General features: G+C 41.7%; 1 protein-coding gene across 2 annotated transcripts in view; it reads right to left on the bottom strand.

Moving 5' to 3' along the window:
• PKD1L1 (polycystin 1 like 1, transient receptor potential channel interacting) overlaps positions 1-22,438 on the bottom strand; it is a 186,293-nt gene that overhangs the window by 79,693 nt on the left and 84,162 nt on the right. For both annotated transcript variants that reach the window (XM_017011798.3, NM_138295.5), the window contains 8 exons: positions 21,791-21,911; positions 19,593-19,704; positions 12,113-12,308; positions 10,910-10,966; positions 4,367-4,579; positions 3,299-3,526; positions 849-959; positions 576-733 (listed from right to left, as the gene is read on the bottom strand). In XM_017011798.3, the coding sequence (XP_016867287.1) occupies positions 576-733; positions 849-959; positions 3,299-3,526; positions 4,367-4,579; positions 10,910-10,966; positions 12,113-12,308; positions 19,593-19,704; positions 21,791-21,911 (1,196 nt within the window). The remainder of the gene's footprint in view (positions 1-575; positions 734-848; positions 960-3,298; positions 3,527-4,366; positions 4,580-10,909; positions 10,967-12,112; positions 12,309-19,592; positions 19,705-21,790; positions 21,912-22,438) is intronic.

Here is a 22,438-nt window from a genome sequence, read left to right on the forward strand (position 1 = left end):
CCGAGAAGGAAGGTGATCAAGGCCCTGCCCATCCAGACCTCCAACGAACTCTGCAGACTGGTGGTTTCCATTAGCACATTTGCTGTAGAATTTCAAAGAATCTTTTCAATAGTCACTTACCTTCCCAATAGTCAATTACCTTCCCAGGTAATTTATTTATTAACTGGGGCCTATACAAATCTCATGAACTCAACATTCCTGAGAAAAATAATTATTTTATGAAGTTTCCTTAGATATATAAATTTAAACACATTTTCTCCTTTTGGAAAAATAAAAAAAAATCTTGCTCAGACCTATACTGAAAGAATTAGATTTCTAAATGAGACTGTATGCATTATCACTAATAATTATAATGCTTCTCACTCTAATAATGTTAACAGGCAGGAATTCAAACTCAAAAACCAAAGTCAGGAAGCTTAGCATCCAAACAGCAGAATAGATAACAATTTCTTTAAACAATGAGCCTCATTATTGCTTTAAAAACACAATTTAATTCACTGATTTTTTGTCACAAAACATTCTTAAGGACAATATGTCTTACTCCAATCTCATTGTAGCTGTCACCATCAACACACCTTACTAGCAACATGACGGGAAATGCCCTTGTAACAGGTTTGGAAAATTCAATTTCTATCTGTAGAGATTCCTGGGGGTTTTCGGAAAGCTCAGTGAACTGATGGAGATTCACTTTATCCCGAAGTAATACAAATGTCGTTTTATTTCTCCTATTATCCTGTCATCACAAAGAAAACAAGTTAAGCAAAATTTGCCTTTGGTAAAATAAACACATTAAAAATCAGCCAGCACAGCCTAAATGAAGTAGAGATACTGAGAAAGGCTCTCCTTACCAGGCCATCCTCCTCCCCAAACTCGACCATCACGGGTTTCCTTAGCCATTGCCTGTTGATGGGTCTTCTGCTGGAGCAGGTATAGAGGTTGAGGCCCACAACTCCACCAATCTTGGGGAACAAAGACCATCTCAGAGCAAATGACAGCAAGCAATGGACTTAAGTGAGAAAAGCAGCAAACCAAAGTATCGTGGTGCTGCTATTACACTTACATAAAATTATATGCCTGATATTAGAAGCTAGCATACAAAAATAAACCAGTTTTACTAGTCAGGATGGCAGGATTGGAGTGAATATTATGCTTCATTTGCATCATTCTTATTAAAATTAATAATTTCTAAAGTATTTTGAAGTATTTTTTATTTTAAAAGCTAATGCAAAAGAAATATCTGCTCATTGTAGATAATCAGGAAGGTATAGAAAAGTATATGCAAGAGTGGGGCCGGGCGCGGTGGCTCACGCCTGTAATCCCAGCACTTTGGGAGGCCGAGGCGGGCGGATCACGAGGTCAGGAGATCGAGACCATCCCGGCTATAACGGTGAAACCCCGTCTCTACTAAAAATACAAAAAATTAGCCGGGCGTAGTGGCGGGCGCCTGTAGTCCCAGCTACTTGGGAGGCTGAGGCAGGAGAATGGCGTGAACCCGGGAGGCGGAGCTTGCAGTGAGCCGAGATCCCGCCACTGCACTCCAGCCTGGGCGACAGAGCGAGACTCCGTCTCAAAAAAAAAAAAAAAAAAAAAAAAAGAAAAGTATATGCAAGAGTGAAGAATAGCTATTCTATAGTCCCATTGCTCATAGAAATCATATTTCAGGATGTTGAGTATCAAATTTTGCTATGTAATAGAGTACATATTTGGCAGACAATTTAGTTGTCTATATGTATATCTATATATTTTTTTGACACAGAGTCTTGCTCTGTCGCCCAGGCTGGAGTGCAGTGGTGTGATCTCAGCTCACTGCAACCTCTGCCTCCCAGGTTCAAGCGATTCTCCTGCCTCAGCCTCCCGAGTAGCTGGGACTACAGGCACGTGCCACCACACTCGGCTAATTTTTGTATTTTTAGTAGAGACGGGTGTTTCACCATGTTGGTCAGGTTGGTCTGGAACTCCTGACCTTAGGTGATCCACTCGCCTCGGCCTCCCAAACTGCTGGGATTACAGGCGTGACCCACTGTGCCCGGCCTCAGTTGTCTATATTTTTGCAGTCTTCCCAAATTACTAAAATTCCCTGATTGACATAATAACAATTAGCTATATATGAACTCTATCCCTATGCTGAACATTTAGGTACATTTCTATTTGAGTTATAATAATATTGTTTTGAGCAAATAAATACGACAAGACATCTTGTTCTGAACAAATCTTTTCTCATTTTCCTAGTGTAGATTCTTACAAGTGTAACAGTGTAGGCCAGGTTGTTGCTGGATGCCTAGTTGACAAAGTGCTTTCCAAAATGTCACACTGCCGAGCACCCTGGTTTACTCACTGCATCTCCACAAGCAGTAAGTGTTTTTAAGTAATTGCACTTTTGTAAGGTAAAAAAATCATTTTAATTTGTGTTTTTTATTGATTGTTAGTTTGAATTATTTTCCTATGCTGATTAGCCATTTCCATTTCCATTTAAAAAAGCAAATGCTGTAAAAGATGAGCATTTTTTGACCAAAATAAGATGTACCTAATTTGTCCATACATCCATCAGACATTTGATGGGTCACCAAATGAGCCACGTACTTGAGCCAGACTGGGGTCGGGGGCTACAGAAATAGAGAATCCTTGCTCTCTGCCCTTCCAAACTCACTCATGGTGACCCTGGGGTCATTCACAAAGCTTCCGAGTGAATGTCTACAAAACTGCCAAGTGGCTGGGACAATCCTCCCTGACTTCCCCATCCTCACATCCCCCTTTCACTGTGGTCCCCTGTTCCTCCTGACCTCTCAGGGAGCCAGGGGCCACCCTGCAGGTTCAGCCCAGCAGTGCCTCTCTGGTGAGCAGGGAGGATGGGGGGTAAGCACTGCCATGTCCTCAGCAGCCCCTTCTTAAGCGTCATTCAGGTATACTCCGCATTTGATGTTAGACCCATATCTTCATCGTTCTAAAGACACGATTGGCCAGAATGCTTGCATAATCACTGCATCACATGCTGCAACCCCCTAGAGCCTTCTGTTCTCTGACAATGGATTAGAAGGCCTCAAGGAAACAGTGAATGGGCCCAGTGTCCCAGATACAAGTGACATCTAGTTTTGCCAGGAGTTTTCTGGAGAAGCTAATCTTCTAAGAGGAGTAGAGTCAGCAACGTGTTCTAAGTGATCCCTCTTGGCACTGAGAGGGTGCAAACATGCAAAAAACAGGTGCAAATATGCCAACCTAGTTTCTCTTTTTGTCATTTAAGCCCAATTACTGCAAATTTGAAATGGTCATTAGAAGTGGCAGGTCATCTGTCAGCTTGTACCTGCCCAGGAGCTTGGCTCCCTGGATATGGGTTCTTCTTGAAGAGTATGAGCTGGCTAATGTAGCATGGGCTCTGTGTCTCCGCCCCAGCAGGACTGTGCCCAGCAAGGTCACCAGGTAAATGCACCTGGACAGATCCCAGGCTCTGGACAGAGCTCTGAAGGTTGTAATGAAGAAGGGTCCGGAACTCCATCTGCCCAGTGCTAACATGGTTCAAAGAGAGACAACCCTGAAACATAGAGCATAGGGAGTGGGATGTTTATAACACAAATGCACAAACTGTCTTGAATCCAGACTAGGAGAGAGGGGAAAAGTAGTTAAAAAGCCCATCTCAAGTTAGATTGGATGGCAGGAAGCAAGAGCGCAGGTCTTAGGGCTCAGCGCTGGGTAAGTAGGCAACAAATGTTCTTAAACACTTGTGAGTAATGATGATGATTATTAGTAGGTTCAGATAGACTATTTACTTGCTAATTTCCCAAATGTTACAGTAGCCATCCGTTAAATAAGCCAGCAGGACTGGAGAGGGATGCTAAATTGGTAGAAGAGGAACGCCAGAAGCCTATTCACTTACTGCTTCTTGAAAGCACTGGCCATTTCATAAAGTAAAAATAAAAAAGTCTCGGAGACAATTTCCAAAGTTACCAGAGCAGAAATAAATGAAATAAACTTTGGCCTTTTTAAGAAGTTATGTATCAGCAGGGCTACTTTTAAAATTGCTGCATGCAATAAATCATTTGCATTACTTCACATAATTCCTCAAAAAAACAGAAGGTATCCTGAGAAATAATGTTTCTGAGTCAAACATCCCAAATATCCCAAATGAAAATCTACCAAAACAAAAAAAGGATAAAATAGAAGCAAGGTTTCACTGGAAACATTATAATATTACCATGAAATACTTAAAATTCAAAATGAAAGTCTCCAAATACCAAAATGCCACCCAGAAGAATGAACACAGTACTTCAGAAACTGATTCTGTTTTTGGTTTTGAGAAGCAATTACAAATACAGGTTAACATCCTGGGATATGGAAACAGTATTTTTATGGATGGAGAAAAAGTGTGACTTACCAACAATAAATCTGAGATGACTGTAATTCCTTCTTCATGTCGATAGACTTCCTCCTTCGAGTTTTCTTGCTCAGAGACTTCCCAGACTCTGGATATGAGACCGATGAGCTCAAGCCTCACTCCTTTGTCAATCACAAATGGCCCCGAGAACTGGCCTTGAGCAAGGAGTGCCCGGGTGTACTTGAGGATGAGAACCGCACTCATAAAGCCTAGCTGCATGAACAGAAAAGATGTAAATAAAATGCCTGGCCTTGAGCAAGGAGTGCCCGGGTGTATTTGAGGATGAGAACCGCACTCATAAAGCTTAGCTGCATGAACAGAAAAGATGTAAATAAAGTGCCTCATGGCATATGATGCATATATTCTTGCCTTTTTCATTATTATAAGGAATTAAAATGACTGAACTACGGGCTAAGAGAACTGGATTTAAGTCCAGGTTTGGTCTCTAGGTGACTATTGGCCAGCTTCCTAAGTAGCAAGCTGCTTTTTGATATTCGGCCTCTTGACCAAAGGAAAACAAATGGTCTCTATGCTTTAAGATGTTATTTGTTTTAAACCCCAACGACCACTTTGCAAATCCCTTCACAAATTGGCCCCCACCTCCTCCCACAGCCTTCTCCCTCCCCATTACCTATGTGCATTCTATTCTCAAGCCATGCTGAATCTCTTATTGTACCCAAAGAATCGAGGCTTTTTCTTGATGCCCTCCAGATTCCTCTACCTGCAGTACCTTTACCCTCATTTGGACTGGCAGAATCCAATCCTGCTTTTCTCTCTCTCTGTTTCTTTTCCTTTTTTTTTCTTTCTCTCTCTCTTTTTGTTTAGAGATGGGGTCTCACTCTGTCACCCAGGCTGGAGTGCAGTGGCACAAGCATAGCTCCCTGCAGACTTGAACTCCTGGGCTTACATGATTCTCCCACCTCAGCCTCCCAAGTGCTGGGACTAAAGACATACATTTTTTTTTTTTTTTTTGAGATGGAGTTTGACTCTATCGCCCAGGCTGGAGTGCAGTGGCACAATCTTGGCTCACTGCATCCTCCGCCTCCTGGGTTTAAGCAATTCTCTGCCTCAGCCTCCCGAGTAGCTGGGATCACAGGCACCCACCACCATGCCCAGCTAATATTTTTTTGTATTTTTAGTAGAAACGGGGTTTCACCATCTTGGCCAGGCTGATCTTGAACTCCAGACCTCATGATCCACCCGCCTCGGCTTCCCAAAGTGCTGGGAGTACAGGTGTGAGCCACCACACCCAGCCTATTTTTCTGAACTGTTAATGTAGTCCCCTTTCAAACCTACACAAAGTAGAAAGAATAGTATGGTAGTATAATACGTCTATCACCCAACTTTAACAATTATTCACTGGAATATTTTTTCTTCTATTCTCTACTTAACTTTAAAAAAATATTTAGAAGCAAAAAGCAAATCTCAGGTATTATTTTTATCCATGAACACTTTAGTGTGTAGTGCTGATAGATGAGGATTCTTTCTAAAAATATGCCCACAATGCCATGATCACATCTAACAAAACTACGAGTCTTTACTACGTATCTTTTAAAACCAACCTCAAATGTCTACGAGACAAAGTCAGCTGCATCACTGCTTGTGTTTATGCAGAATTTTGTCATTCTTCTGATCGTAGGACTAAGCATATTTATTGAAATGTATCTGTTTGCAACTTCATTCATCAATGCTTAAAAGACACAGACTAATCTTTTTCTTCTTTGTACCTTAGCAGCTCCTAGCAATTGCTAAATAAATGTGTGTCCATGAAATGAAACTGAGATTCTGTTTTCTATTGGCCAGGCTTATTTAACCACAATGATATCTAATGGCTTAGATATACCTTTTAAAATCTAGTTCTTCCACCACAATAAGATTAAACTAATTTGGAAATGCGTTTAAACTACTATTGAAGGCCCTTTACATGAGGTAGCTTACCATGGATATTAGGACTTAAATGAAAGAATAATCTTTAAAATTAAACAAGTGCTTTAAAGAATATATTATGCCCACTTTCACAATGCCCACTTTTTTGACCAAAAATATCAGAATGGTCACTTTAAGAGGACAATCATGTTCATTTTTATTTCCCACTCTGAACTAAGAACTGTGGCAGACCCTGGGGTTCAGAGATGCACAAGAGGGACAATGGCAGGAATGATTTGATCTCTACCAGATTCATGCTCTGGAGCCTCATGTAGGGTCATCGATGGGAAGTAATTCCATTTCCCAGGTCCCTCGAGTCCAGGTGAGCCCATGTGATGCTCACCAGGGGAAGGTGAGTGCAGCGAGGTGTGCACCTGCAGCGCCACATGACCGACAGGCAGCATACCTTCTCCATGTGCTATTCCCCTGACTTAGGAAGCCACAGAGTGGAGGTATTGGGGCACAAGATGGACGGGGCCAGAGTCCCTGAGTCACCACGAGGGAGACACCCACTGAACACCTGCTACGGAATGTGTGTGAATGAAGAAAAAATATCTGTTGTATTCAGCTTCTGGGATTTCAGGGTTATCTGTTACAGCAGCTAACATTATTTTAACTAATACAGTTTGTATCTTAAGAGGCTGAGTAGTCTAAAGTTGGAAGACAGATGCACAAAAAGAAATTACAAATCAAAGGTGTTGAAGTGCTAAAAACAAAGTCACGTACAAATTTGTCTCGAACAAAATGAACTCTGCCTTCAGACCTTTGTGAAGATTTCACGGAGAAGGTGGCATTTGAATCTACCCTTGAGGAGAAAGTAATATTTTTCCAGGGGAAGAAGTAACCTGCTCCAGTTATGGGAAAACATACCATTTCAAGGACATAAGGGGCATCCCGAATGCCTACACAGGGAAGATGCCTACGTTGGGTTGTGTGCACAATGAGGTGCAGAGAGTCAAGTGGAAATGGGTGAAGTCCTCGTATGATACAAAGAACAATTGGGACTGGGTACGGTGGCTCACGCCTGTAATCCCAGCACTTTGGGAGGCCAAGGCGGGCGGATCACAAGGTCAGGAGATCGAGACCATCCTGGCTAACACAGTGAAATCCCGTCTCTACTAAAAACACAAAAATTAGCCGGGCATGGTGGTGTGCGCCTGTAGTCTCAGCTGCTGGGGAGGCTGAGGCAGGAGAATGGCGTGAACCTGGGAGACAGAGCTTGCAGTGAGCCAAGCTTGCCCCACTACACTCCAGCCTGGGCGACAGAGCAAGACTCTGTCTCAAAAAAAAAAAAAAAAAAAAAAAAAACAATTGGGCCAGGCGTGGTGGCTCACATCTGTAATCCCAGCACTTTGGGAGGCTGAGGCAGGTGGATCACCTGAGGTCAGGAGTTCGAGACCAGCCTGACCAACAAGGTGAAACCCTGTCTCTATTAAAAATACAAAAATTGGCCAGGTATGGTGGCGTGCACCTGTAATCCCAGCTACTAGGGACGCTGAGACAGGAGAATCACTTGAACCCGGAAGGCAGAGGTTTCAGTGAGCCAAGATTGTGCCACTACACTCCAGCTTGGGCGACAGAGTGAGACTCTGTCTGAAAAAAAAAAGAGCAATTGGATTGTGTCCTCAAACTACTAGAAAGCCATCAAGTACTCTGAACAAACAGATGGCATGACCAGGTGTGTTGCTTATAAAGACAGATCATCAGAAGAGAGGTGAATGATGATGCCCTCCCACCTAGACTGGAGGTTGTTGGAGTGGAGCAGCCTGAGATGAGGAGGGGAGACTCAGGCAGGAGGGATGGTAGGAGGACAGGGCCATCCAGCCCCCGTTCCTGTATCCATTGCCCATCTCTCTTGAGCGCCTGCCATGCGTTACACCTATGGTATTTCTGTGGTGAAGAGGAAGATCCCTGGTATCATGGAGTCGACATTCCAGTGGGGGAAGAGCAGCATTAAAGAAATAAATGAGATAGTTGCTGTTGTGAAAATATTGAAGGGGATAGCCCATAACAGGAAGAGAGGATAATAATAATTACCTTCAGATGGTGGGTCTAGGACAATGTCTCTAAGAAAGTAAGTAGCATTTGTGCTGAGTCAATGAAGGGCCAGCTATTTGAAAAGCCAAGGGGAGGGCACAGCGGGAAAAGGATCAAGGCAGTACCCCTGGAGGATGGTTAGGAAGCGGGAGAAAAGCCAGGAAAGGAGGACAGAAGGAAAGAAGGAGCCAGACACTGCAGGTGCATAAGATGTTTAGCTTCTATTCCACACGCAAGGAGAAGCCACGGGGAGTGCTGAGCAGGAGAGTGGCACTCACTGACTCAGGCTTTTACAATGACTTGACTGCTGTGTGTAGCCTGTTTTCTAAGGTGGCCTGAGAGGAGGCAGAGAGGACAGGACAGTGAGAGAAACTGCCAACCTGGATGAGAAATGACATTTGCTTGGATTTGGGTGAAGCGCAGTAGAGGCAGGAGAGGTAGGAAGATTCTAGCTACGTGTTTGAGGAAGAACAGATGGGACTTCTTTATAAGTGAATGGATGAGGGGAAGAAAGGACTCCGGTGACACCTGGGCTTTAACATGGGATTCTGCATGGACGGTGCTGCCCTGTCCTGGGCTGAAGAAAGTAGGAGGAACACGGGGTTGGAAGGGGTTGGGGGAGGAGCCCACTCTGCCATGCTGGGTCTGTGCAGTTTCGGCCCGTGTGGAAATGAGAGCGTGTAGTTATACGTGCGTGTCTGGGGAGCTTGAGTCAGCTTTGGGTTGGAGGTGTGGGTTGCAGAGTCCCTATCAGATGGATGTAAAGTGGAAGGAGTGGATGAGATCACACAGGGAGGAGGTGTGGACAGAGAATCTAGGAGGCCCAAGACAAAGCTCTGAGATACTGACCACGTAACTGTAGATGGGAAGAGCCAACAGGGGTCAGTCAACAAGGCCAACCAAGAAATCATGTCGTGAAGCCTAGAGAAGAGCGTGTCCCCCAAAGCAGATTGAGCCCCACAGAAGGTCCCCGGCAGGGAGAGAATGGGGAGCAGAAGGTGTCCAGTGGATTTGGCCAGATAGAGATCTGCTGTGACTTTGGCAGGAGCAGCGGCAGTGTGGATGGAGATGGAAGCCAAAGTTTGATGGTCTAAAATGCACGAGAAGCCAGGTGTGGTGACGTGCATCTGTGGTCCCAGCTACTCAGAAGGCCGAGGTGGGAGGATGGCTTGAGTCCAGGAGTTTGAGGCAGGCTGAGCCACACAGTGAGACCTTGTCTCTTAAAAAAACACACACACAAACAAGAGGCAGCAAGTATAGCCCATAACAGGCTCAGAACTCACTTTTTAAATGCTCTGCTGTGAAGAGGAACATGAAAAGTTAGGTGGAAGCTGGAAGCAGGTTTGATTTCACTAGAGGGATTTTTTTTTAAAATAAGTGAGATTCTAAGCATGTGCAGGATCATTCAGAAGAAAGAAGTGGAAGCAGCAGCAAAGAGTGGAAAATGAAAAGAGAAACTCTGGAGAAGGCAAGGTGGGCAGGAGCAGGACTGTGCCGCCTGCACCCATGCAGGCTAGGCGTTGTCCAACACTGGGGCACCCGTCACTCAGATTGAGATGAGGGACAATGAGAGGAGCCTGGAGGAGAGCTCCACACAAATAAAGGGAGAAGCCTATGCAGGGGCTGGAGATTCCTTCTGTGGTGACAGAGCATGGCCATAGTTAGATTCACAGACTGGAGGTAGATGAGAGAATGATGCGTGCTCTTCTCATCTCTCAAGCAGCAATGCAGGGGGAACATCAGCTGACGGGGAGGAAAGTGTGCCAGAGACTCAAGAAGAAAAGAAGGTGTGACGAAGGAAAAACCCAATGCCATGTGTTACCAATAAAGAACAAGCCCCTTGCCAAAATTATTCATAGCATGGATAGTACGTGTTCTCATCCATTTCTACTTTGGGATTCCAAATTTCTTCCTTTCTTCCTTCTTTTTCTTTTTCTTTCTTTTCTTTCTTTCTTTCTTTCTTTCTTTCTTTCTTTCTTTCTTTCTTTCTTTCTTTCTTTCCTTCCTTCCTTCCTTCCTCCCTCTCTCCTTCCCTTCCCTTCCCCTCCCTCCCTCCCCTCCCCTCCCTTCCCTTCCCTTCCTTTCCTTTCCTTTCGTTTTTTTGATGGAGTCTCACTCTGTTGCCCAGGCTGGAGTGCAGTGGCGCGATCTCGGCTCACTGCAACCTCCGCCTCCTGGCTTCAAGCGATTCTCCTGTCTCAGTAGAGTACTCCTCCTGAGTAGCTGGGATTACAGGTGCGCGCCACCATGCCCGGCTAATTTTTATATTTTTAGTGGAGACAGGGTTTCACCATGTTGGTCAGGCTGGTCTCGAACTCCTGACTTCGGGATCCGCCCGCCTCGGCCTCCCAAAGTGCTGAGATTACAGGTGTGAGCCACTGTGCCTGGCCTAGATTCCAAATTTCTATATTCAAAATTTCTGAGATGGGCTTTGCTATTCAGATGAATTCTTAAGGGAAAATCACATTTCTAATCTAAGTGTCAAACTATGATTCTGGACAGTGTATTTTTCAAGAACTGATCATGTCCCTCAAAACTATATAAAATAGGAAAATATTTCTGGGAAAAAATTGCACTTACCTTATTAGAGAAGCTCACGAGGTCCCTCAACATAAGAACAGAACCAATCATTTCTTCCTGACCAGAAGAAACAACAATAAAACAAAAAGAAAATGCAAGGAGAGGGAAATTAGCTTGTTTGGGTTAAAGTTACAGCTTGCCTATGTAGAAATAGTACAGATTCCCTGCTTTTTGGCCAAAAGACCAATTGGAGGCCAGACCTTCTGTACAGAGACCATTACTGTTGTCTCTGGTTTTCCTTGGAATCCAGCATCTCTCCTGTGTGCCCCCTAGACATCCTCAGCACACTCCATCAGGGAACTGACACGAGGGCTGATGAAATAAGGGTGCAGAGCTAAGCAACAATTTATTTATTATTTTATTTTATTTTATTTTATTTTATTTTTTTGAGACGGAGTCTCGCTTTGTCGCCCAGGCTGGAGTGCAGTGGCGCGATCTCAGCTCACTGCAAGCTCTGCCTCCCGGGTTCATGCCATTCTACTGCCTCAGCCTCCCGAGTAGCTGGGACTACACGCGCCTGCCACCACACCTGGCTAATTTTTTTTTTTTTTTTGTATTTTTAGCAGAGACGGGGTTTCACTGTGTTAGCCAGGATGGTCACGATCTCCTGACCTCGTGATCTGCCTGCCTTGGCCTCCCAAAGTGCTGGGATTACAGGCTTGAGCCACTGCGCCCAGCCAGAGCTAAGCAACATTTTTAAAAAGAGGAAGAATGAGAAAAAAATTACATCAAGTGAAGTATCTTAAAGTTGTAATGAAATAAGATATATTCTTTGTAGATGTGAATATTCTCTATTGACAGTTATAAGATAGCAGTTGCATAAATGCTGTGAGCAAGTACAGTCACATTTGAATACATGGTAATTTCTTCAGAAGTTGCACAAAATCATGAACTTAACTCTCCAAGATAAAATCAGACTGTTTCACATAAGTTTTACTTACACAAACTTCAGCAGAATTATCTGTAACAACGATTGACTTGGTCATTCTCTCTTTTATAAACCAGCAGCATTCATTTGTGATACATATGAGCTGAATAGAGAGACCACAGCCATGTATGGGAGCTGAGCTGGCTGGCCCTCTTGGTCTCATTTCTTGCCTGTGTTTCATAAGCATGACCACTTGCTAGTGAGCCAGCCAGTCATGAGCCCTGCCACTTGATAAAGGTTTACAGACACTAAACTCACCCTCCTCTGAGCCATACCTGATCTACAAAAGCCAATCTGCATACTGAAGAAATTAATGCATCCTGTATTCGTGACCATTGGTTGCAGGAGGCAGTTTTGTCCTCCTTAGACAAACGACTCAGGATTCTGGTGATCACAGTGATGTAGTTCCTGATTTCTGTGTAACTCCCCATCAGCTGGAGGGTAGAAAGGTTTTTCAGGCTGGAATTATACCTGAAGGAAACACAAGAGTTATCATTACTGTTCCAACACACGGCAAAACTTTTCACCCTGACTACCAAGAGTGGGATGGGATTTGTTGCAAAAATACCTCTTGGACAGGGCAGGGTAGAAAGAGAATGATACAAAGGAGAATTGGTCTGTGCAACGGAAACTCTAAAAAGACACTGTAAGTCATAATATAAAATTTTACAAAAACTCCTTTTATCAGAACTAAAAAAGGCACAAGAAACCAGATACTAATATAGAAGCATCATGGCAAATGAAGGAATGTATTCCAGAGCCAGACAGAGATACCACCACGCTACAGCTGGCCGGAGTTTATGACTCCGGGTTTCAATAATTGCGCATTTATTTACTTATTTACAAACAGCATACTTACTTGCACTGGAAAAGATAACACAGTATTGTGAAAAGAGGCCTATACATGAGGTCAAAGGCCAGTTTCAGCCCTTGTTCTGCAATTTATTTGCTGTATGAGCACAAGAGTATTGTTTAAGAGAAAAATGATCCTCAGTTTCCAAATGTATAAAATAGAAATTTTCATCTGGACACACCGCAGTGGGTCATTGCAAGAAGTAAATTAATTAGAAATCATGTTCTAATTGATTAGAAAATGCATCATGGGCTCTATACACGATGCTTAAGTTCACCCTTGACCAATAAGTGATTTATGGAGACTAAGACCCTAGGAAGCCAAGTTAAAGATAAAAAGAACAAATAAATCTGAGCAGAAACATCACTGGCTGCACAACGAGGGGAAATATACTTTACAGAATTCGTCTTGCCAAACTAATAAACATATAAACCAATGACCAAACAAACAAAAACAACGACAACAAGCCAGGAAAAGGAGGTAGGCCAATACCCAGAGTGGCTGCAATATATTATCTAAAATGTCCAGTTATCAATGAAAAATTATGAGACATCCAAAGAAACATTAAGTGTGACCCAAACATGAGAAAAATAAGCAGGCAATAGAAACTGCCTATGAGGAGACTCAGATGTTGGAATTAGCAAGGACTTTGAAACAGCTATTATAAACATGATTCAAAGAATGAAAGGAAACCATATTTTTAAAAATCAAAGGAAGTTAGAACAATGTTTAGTCAAATAGAGACTATCAATAAACAGATAGAAGCTATAAATTTATAAGTTACAGAGAGAACCAAATGGAAATTATGAAGTTATATGTATAATAATTATAACAAAAGAAATGTTCAAAAGTAAATTTGAGAAAAGAAAGAATCTAGAAACTTGAAGACAGAGTAATAGAGATTATAAATAACAGGAAGAAAAAAGTAGGAAGAAAATGAATGGCAACTCAGAGAAATGTTGAACAATTAAGTTCATGAATTATCTTTTTCTCTCTTCTTATTTAAAAAGCCATTGCATAAAGACATTTCTACAGAGCTGTACTGTTGGGCCCATAACACACAGAAATATAATGTAACAAGAACACAAAGTCTAGGCGTGGTGGCTCATGCCTGTAATCCCAGCACTTTGGGAGGCTGAGGCATGTGGATCACCTGAGGTCAAGAATTCAAGACCAGCCTGGCCAACATGGTGAAACCCCATCTCTACTAAAAATACAAAAAATTAGCTGGGCGTGGCGGTGTGTGCCTGTAATCCCAGCTACTTGGGAGGCTGAGGCAGGAGAATTGCTTGGATCCAGGGGGCTGAGGTTGCAGTGAGCCAAGATTGTGCCATTGCACTGCAGCCTGGGCGACAGGGTGAGACCTTGTCTCAAGGCAAAACAAAACAAAACAAAAAACAACAACAAAAAAAACACAAATAAGGGAGGTGGAAATAAAACTATACAAGAATAAAGAAATGACACTAGATGGTAACTTAAAGCCACAGGAAGATATGAAGACAAACAAAAATACTAAATAAGATTAGCATACATTAAAAGCAATTTCTAAAAATATATTTGTGCTCTCTTCTCCAGTTTCTTTGAAAGACAGAAAACTGGCCAGGCGTGGTGGCTCATGCCTGTAATCCCAGCACTTTGGGAGGCCGAGGCAGGCGGATCACCTGAGGTCGGGAGTTCGAGACCAGCCTGACCAACATGGAGAAATCCCATCTCTACTAAAAATACAAAATTAGCCAGGCGTCGTGGCACATGCCTGTAATACCAGCTACTTCAGAGGCTGAGGCAGTAGAATCGCTTGAACCCAGGAGGCGGAGGTTGCAGTGAGCCGAGATCACGGCACTGCACTCCAGCCTGGGCAACAGAGCAAGACTCTGTCTCAAGAAAAAATAAAAAGACAGAAAATTTTATAAAACAATAATTACAACATTGGACTGTTGGGTTTGTAACACTGATAGATGTAACATACATAACAATCATAACACAAAAAGGGAAGAGGAAATGGATCTATAGAGGAGTAAATTTTCTACATCTTGCTGAAATTAATATAAATTTGAAGTAGTTTCTAGTAAGTTAAGGTGTATATTGTAAGCCTTAGTGCAACAACTAAGAAAATATCTAAAAATACATAATAATCATTAAAGGAGTGAAAATGATATACTAGAAAATACTTAACATAAAAGGAGGCAGTAAAGAAGAAATAGAGGAGCAAAGTAATAATGAGACATGCAAAAAATAAGCAAAATGGCATACATAAATCCATCCAACCACATCAATAATAATATTAAATGTGAATAGATTACATGATTCAACCAAAAGGCAGAGATTGTAAGACTATACACAAAACCAAGATTCAACTATATGCTGTCTACTGGAGACTACTTTAGGTTCAAGGATAAAATTAGGTTGTAAGTAAAAGGATGGAAAGAGACATGCAAACAGTAACAGCAAGGCATGTAGAGTGGTTATGTTTATATCAGACAAAAAAGAAATTAGACAAAAACAGATAGTTGCAATAAAGAGGGACATTTCCTAATGATAATGTAGGTAAATTCACCAGGAAGGTTAAAAAATTGTAAACATATAGGGACCTAACAACAGGTTCCATATACATGAGCAATAATGGACAGAACTGAAGGGATACAGAAAACTCAAAATAATAATACTGTCAATAATGGATAGAACCACCAGGCAGAAAATCAACAAGGATACATAAGACTCAAACAATAATATAAATCAATTAGACCTAACAGATAACCATTGAACATTTAGCCAACAAAATCAGATACATATTCTTTTCAAGTGCACATGGGACATTTTCTAGAATACACCATATAGTAGGCCACAAACAAAACTCAATAAATTTTAAACTACTGCTATTATACAGAGTATATCCTCTGACCATGATGGAATTAAATAATTAGAAATCAATGACAAAAGATATTTGGAAAATTACAAATATGTAAAAAAGTAAAAAACATACTCCTAAATATTATAATCAATGGTTCAAAGAAGAAATTGCAACAAGAATTACAAAATGCTTTGAGATTAATAAATGAAAACACCAACATTCTAAAACACATTGGATGCAGCTAAATCAGTGCTTGAAGGGAATTTAAAGCTATAAATGGCTATAAAGAAGATGACGAATCAATAATCTAATTTTTCACCTTAAGAAACAACAACAACAAAAAAAAACAAGAGCAAAGTAAACCAGAGCAAGTACAAGGCGGGGAAAAAAAGAATAAAAATTAGTGTAGAAATGAATGAAATAGAGAATAGAAAAACAACCACAACAATAAAAATCAATGAAGCCAAAAGCTGGTTTTTTGAAAACATCAACAAAATGACAAATCTTTAGCTAGACTGACAGACAAAAAATAAGAGAGGGAAAAAGAGATGACTTAAATTACTAAAATCAGGAATGAAATTGATATCTCTACTGACCATATAGAAATAAAAAGGATTATAGGAGAACACCATACAAAACTGTATGCCAAAAAAAATAGAGAATGTAGATGAAATGGAAAATTCCTAGAAAGAAACAAACTACTGAAACTGACTCAAGAAGAAACAGAAATCTGAATAGTAAAGATACTGAATCAGTCATTTCAAAATTTCCACAAAGAAAATGCCAGGTCCAAATAACTTTGCTGGTAAATGTTTATAGAAGAATCACTACCCATCCTTCACAAAATCTTCCAAATACTTGAATGCAAAGGAAGCTAGGTGTGGCGGCACACACTTGTTATCCCAGCACTTTGGGAGGCCAAGGTGGGAGGATTGCTTGAGCCCAGGAGTTCGAGACCAGCCTGGGCAACATGATGAAATTAGCCAGGCATGGTGGCATGTGCCTATAATCCCAGCTACTTGGGAGGCGGAGGTGGAAGGATGGCTTGAGCCTAGGAGGTCAAGGCTGCAGTGAGCCATGATCATGCCACTGTACTCCAACCTAGACAACAGATGGAAACCTTGTCTCAAAAAAAAAAAGAAAAAAAAAAAAAAAGGAATACTTCCAAATTGATTGGGGCCAGTATTATTCTGATACCAAAACCAGACAAAGACAACACAGGAAAAGAAAGAAAACTACAGGCCAATACCTCTTATGAACATGGACACAAAAATCCTCAGAAAAGTACTAGAAATCAAATCCAGCACACAGAAAAAGATGTATACATCATGACCAAATGGAATTTATTCCCAGACTGTAAGAGTGATTCAACATCTGAAAATCAATCAATTTTATATAACTTGTATCTTAGTTTGTGCTATTATAATAAAATACCTGAGACTGGGTAATATATAAAGAACAGAAATTTATTTTCACAGTTTTGGAGTCTGGGAAGTCTAAGATCAAGACACTAATAGGCTCAGTGTCTGGTGAGGCTGCTCTCTGCTTCCAAGGTGGCACCTGTTGCTGCCTCCTCCAGAGGGGAAGAAGGCTGTGACCTCACATGACAGAAGGGACAGAACGACCAAAGAGGGCCTATCTAGTTCCCTCCAGCCATTTTATAAGGTGACTAATTTCATTTATGAGAGCAGAACCCTTATGGCCTAATCACCTCCTACAGACACCACCTCTTAACTACTGTTGCACTGGGGATAGTTTGAACAGGAATTTTAGAGAGGACACAAACATCCAAAACGTAACAAATTAATGGACTAAGGGACAAAAAACATATAATTGTCTCCATAGACCTAGGAAAAGCATTTAACAAAATCCAATACGTTTTTATAATGAAATACACACACAACAAACTAGGAATAGAAGAGAACATCCTCAATCTGATAACGGTTGTCTGTGAACGACCTCTAGCTAATATTAATATGAAGTGGTGAAAGACTGAATGCTTCCTCCTTAAAACTGAGAAGAAGACCAGGATTTCCACGCTTGCCACTTCTGTTCAGCGTTGAATGGAGGTTCTAGTCAAGAGAATTAGGCAAGAAATAGAAATGGAAGGCATCCAGATTAGAAAGAAAGAAGCAAAGCTATCTCTAGTGACAGATGACATGATCTTATATAGAGAAAATCTCAAGGAATTCGGTAAAAAACTATTAATACTAACAAACATGTTCAGCAGGGTTATAGGATACAAGATACTCCCCAAACTGATGTACAGACTTGACAAATCCCTATGAAAATCCCAGTTAGCTTTTGTTTTGTTTTGTTTTTCTACCCCCTGCAGCAGGAGTCTGGAGCCCCAGTCTGCCCCAGCCAGAGCAAGGCTGGAGAGGCTGGCCGGCACCAAAGCCATTGTCCCATGCCTGTGCTGCTTTGTTTTTGCAGAAATCGACAGGCTGATTCTAAAACTCATATGGAAATATGAGAGACCTGAAAGACCCAACCTTCTAAAAAGAACAAAGTTAGTGGGCTCAGGTTTTTCAGTTTCAAAATTTACTACTAAACTATAATAATCAAGGCAGCATAGTACTGGTATGAGAAGAGACATTCAGACTAATGGAATAGAATTGAGAATCAAGAAACAAACGTTTTAATTAGGTTATCCATTATAAAAATACAGATAACCTACATAAAAATGGGTAAAGTACTAAGCAGACATTTCTTCAAGGAAGATATACAAAGCATATGAAAAGATGCTCAACCTCATCAATTATTAGAGAAACGCAAGTCCAAACCTTAATGGGATACCACTTCATACTAACTAGAACAGCTGTGAACAAAAAGACAATAACCAGTGTTGGTTAGGATATCAAGAAACCAGAACTCTCATACCTCGTTAGTGGGAATACAAAATGGTGCAGCCACTACGGAAAATAGTTTGGTAGTTACCATAGGACACTGTTTCCATTCCTAGTTACCTACCCAAGGAAAATGAAACCACACACTCACACAAAAACTTGCACATAAATGTTCATAGCAGTGTGATTCATTATAGCCAAAAAGTGAAAACAACCCACACATCCATCAACTAATTAATGAATAAATAAAATATGATATGTTCATACAATAAAATATTATTCAGCAACAAAAAAGAATGAAGTACTAATATATTTTGCTACATAGATGAAACTCAAAAACATTCACATGCTCAGTGAAAAGACAGTTACTTAAGATCATATGTTATATTATCTCATTTATATGAAATTTTCAGAATCAGCAAACCTGTAGATATTAAATAGATTTGTGGTTGTCCGGGGCCGGTGGGAGGAAGCTGGGTGGTGGGTAAAGGGAGTGACTGCTAATAAGTCAAGGTTTTCACGGGATGATGAAAAATTGTCTAAAACTAGCTTATGGTGAAGGCTGTATAATTCAATAAATTATTAAAACCAAGGAGTTGCATACTTTAAATGGATGAACATGTGGAATGTAAATGATATCTTTAAAAACTGTTTTTAAAAAAGAAGAAAGTGAGGCTGGGCGCGGTGGCTCACACCTGTAATCCCAGCATTTTGGGAGACCGAGGCGGGTGGATCACGAAGTCAGGAGTTCGAGACCAGCCTGACCAACATGGTGAAACCCCATCTCTACTAAAAATACAAAAATTAGTCAGGCTTGGTGGCGCACACCTGTAATCCCAGCTACTCAGGAGGCTGAGGCAGGAGAATCACTTGAACCCGGGAGGTGGAGGTTGCAAGTGAGCCGAGATTGTGCCACTGCACTCTCCAGCCTGGGTGACAGGCGGAGACTCTGTCTCAAAAAAAAAAAAAAAAAAAAAAGAAGGAGAAGAAAGTAGCTTTATAGGCTCTGAAGCACCTGCAAGAATGCCATGCAAATATGAGTTAGCAGGATTGCAGTGATAGCACCCGGACTTTTTTATTTGCTCCATCTTAAGAAGATGAGTTCCTGACATGTTTTTGACGCTTGTTAACAACTTGGGGGAGAGCCAACTCTGGAAGAAATACAAATAATGGCTAGGATGTCTGTGTGGCATTGTGTTACTCACAGGTCCTCGCCCAGACAGTCATTTCCATGGTAGCGGGGCAGCACAGTCACCACCACAGTGCACGGCTGGACCTTGGAGCCTTTGCCATCTGTGATTTCAGTGGAAACCATGACTGTGAGGGAACATGTCAGAAGAGGGTCATCTTGGACATGTGGGTTACAGAGATGCTTCTTCACACACAGACAGCATCTTCTGGATGACTAAAACTGTGACAAGTGCTGACAAAGGGGCCAGGCTCCGAGCCACAGGGAGCCCAGGGAGTGAAATACAAACTCGGCAATGGACTGTCAAGGCTTGGGGTTATAGTTTGACCAGTTCCTACATGATATATAGAAATTTAACAGGCCTAGAAAAAAGGTGAAGAATTCTGACAGAGGGGACTTTTTAAAAGACATAAGACCTATTTGGGGGACCCAGGAATTCCTTCATGTAACAGGGGTGCAGGGCTGTGGTGAGGGGACCTGCAGATCAGGCTCAGAGTGCAGGTGATGGCCAGATGCTAAGGGCCACAGGCACCGTCATAGGAACCACATAGAAAGATCGACGCCCAGGTGTGCCCTATGTATCTTTATAACAACATTTTCAACCTGAAACTCAGTGCCAAGGATTGGGGACTTAATTTTGGAGGTTGACACTTCTCAAGATGTGGTCTATGGACACTTGCAGCCCAAGCGCCAGGCATCTCGTCTACAAGCAAATTCCGTGCTCCATCTTCTCCCCACAATCCTGAGTCAGTGGATACTAGGTGGGCTCTGGAGGCAGCAATTTTAACAAATACCCTTAACAGATAAGGTTGGTCCTATGCACGGATATAGAAAATCCCAAAGGAGCAGTTTTTAGGCAAGACTCCACTTATTTTGACAAGCTGAGTCTGCGCCACACTCACTCATGCAAAAGATGGGACAAGAAAAGGTATGTATTAAGTATTTACTATATTGTATTTATTTTGCTTATGTTCGCCCCCTTACAAATCTTGAGTTCAGGTATTCATAGGAATTGGCTGTACTGATAGTGACAATTACAAACAAATTGTGGTTGTGAATGATTTGAGTAACATCACTAACCCTGACACTGCTCTGGGACTGTGACCTGAAATTTGGTCTGTAAATTTATGTTAAGAAATCTTTACTTCCAACACAGAGCTGAGGCCCTGGCCCAAGGTCCTTCTATTGGAACATTTGCCCAGCCTAAGTCTCACATAACCCCGTACGCAGCTTGACTTCAAGAAAACTCAAGATCAAACGGAGTACAAAGTCACTGTGATACAAAGCAGAGCATGATTATGAAGATCTCAAAATGCCCTGCTCAGAAGTTTTGCTCAATATAATTGATTTGTATCTAGAAGAAGGTACAAGTGTTTCTAACTGAAGGTGACAGGCAAAGTTTCATGAAGAAGAAGGAACTTCAGCTTGGCTTAAAGGAGAGGTGAAACTTAAATAAATCAAGTGAATGAACTAGTTCAGACTTCAGGCTCTAATAATCTTACCAGTCCAAATTAAAGAAACTTCTAGATCAGTGACTCTCAACCTTCCCTGCACATCAGAATCTTCCAGGCATTTAAAAAATAAAACAGAAACTTAAAAAGTCACCAACCCCCAAGATTTTTATTTAACCAGCCTGGGTTTGCACATGTCAAGATACCTTCCTAAATGGCTGCATGTCTCTTATGCTCAGTTGAAGCCAGTTCCAAGGGACTGGTTTAGAAGTAACCACAACCTCAGGAACAGGGTCAGAGCAGAAAGTTGTAAACACTGTGGGATTCATTTTGTTTTGAGGTTATGTTACTAACATGCTAACTCACATTCATTTACCCCACATTTTGTTCCTTAGGGGGATACCTTGATTTGGTTTCATCTATAATAAATGCAAGATTCACCAGATATGACATATTTCATTAGTAAGTAAGAAATGTCCTGATTTTAAATATTTAATTTATATATGAAAAAACATTCTCTGGCATTTTATCATTTACAGTGTATTTCAGTTAAAATTTAAGATATAAAAAACTGATTTAATTTATTGATATTACTAATGTTCTTTCTGCACTAAAAGGTAGATAATAAACCTAAACTGAAAAGCATTAAACTGATCAAGGTGATTTTATTTTCTAGACACAGTTTAGTTTTTGAAAACCAGGAAAAAAGGTTTAGAACTGTAGGTTGGCACAGCTAGTGACTCCAACTGGCACCATAGCTTACCTTTGTAATTGTCCAAGTGCTCACCAGCTGGCAACACAAAATAATACTGGGTGTCTCTCCCATGGTACAAAGTGTGTTTGGAGGTGTTTCCTATCTGGTAACTAAATTCATAATGGAAGTCCTATGATCCAGTCCAAGGGAGCAAAAATAGTATAAATGAACACACTGTGAATGATATCACAATACATACACACACAGCTGAGCCTTCATTGTACCAAGGACATTCTTTACAGCCAGGAAGAGGGTAAGTGACAGGTAAGCAGCACTCCCAGCTGCCCAGAGCCCTGGGCCCTGCAGGGCTCTCCATTCACCAAGCCCAAAGGGCTCCTCGAACAACACTGAGATTCCCCACCAGTGTCTGTGTCCTCTCCTTGTCCTGGAACCTCCCCACAGTCACAAATCAGACTGTCACAGCCCCCTCAGGGTGAAGGGCCCCAGCTGCCCCTCAGCTTCCACACTGCTGGGCATCACACAGCAGGAGGAGCAGGAGGGAGGGGTCGGGGTGCCTCAAGGGAAGGCCATGGTCTGGGACCTCTGGAGGACAAGGGTGGGGCTTCCTACAGAAGGGGTCAGGCAGAAGGGCAGGGAGGTCAGTGTCCTGGCTGAGAGGATGGAGAGGGCAGTGCCAGGGTCACAATATCACAGGCT

Source organism: Homo sapiens, chromosome 7, assembly GCF_000001405.40.
Source record: "Homo sapiens chromosome 7, GRCh38.p14 Primary Assembly".
Classification (NCBI taxonomy): domain Eukaryota; kingdom Metazoa; phylum Chordata; class Mammalia; order Primates; family Hominidae; genus Homo; species Homo sapiens.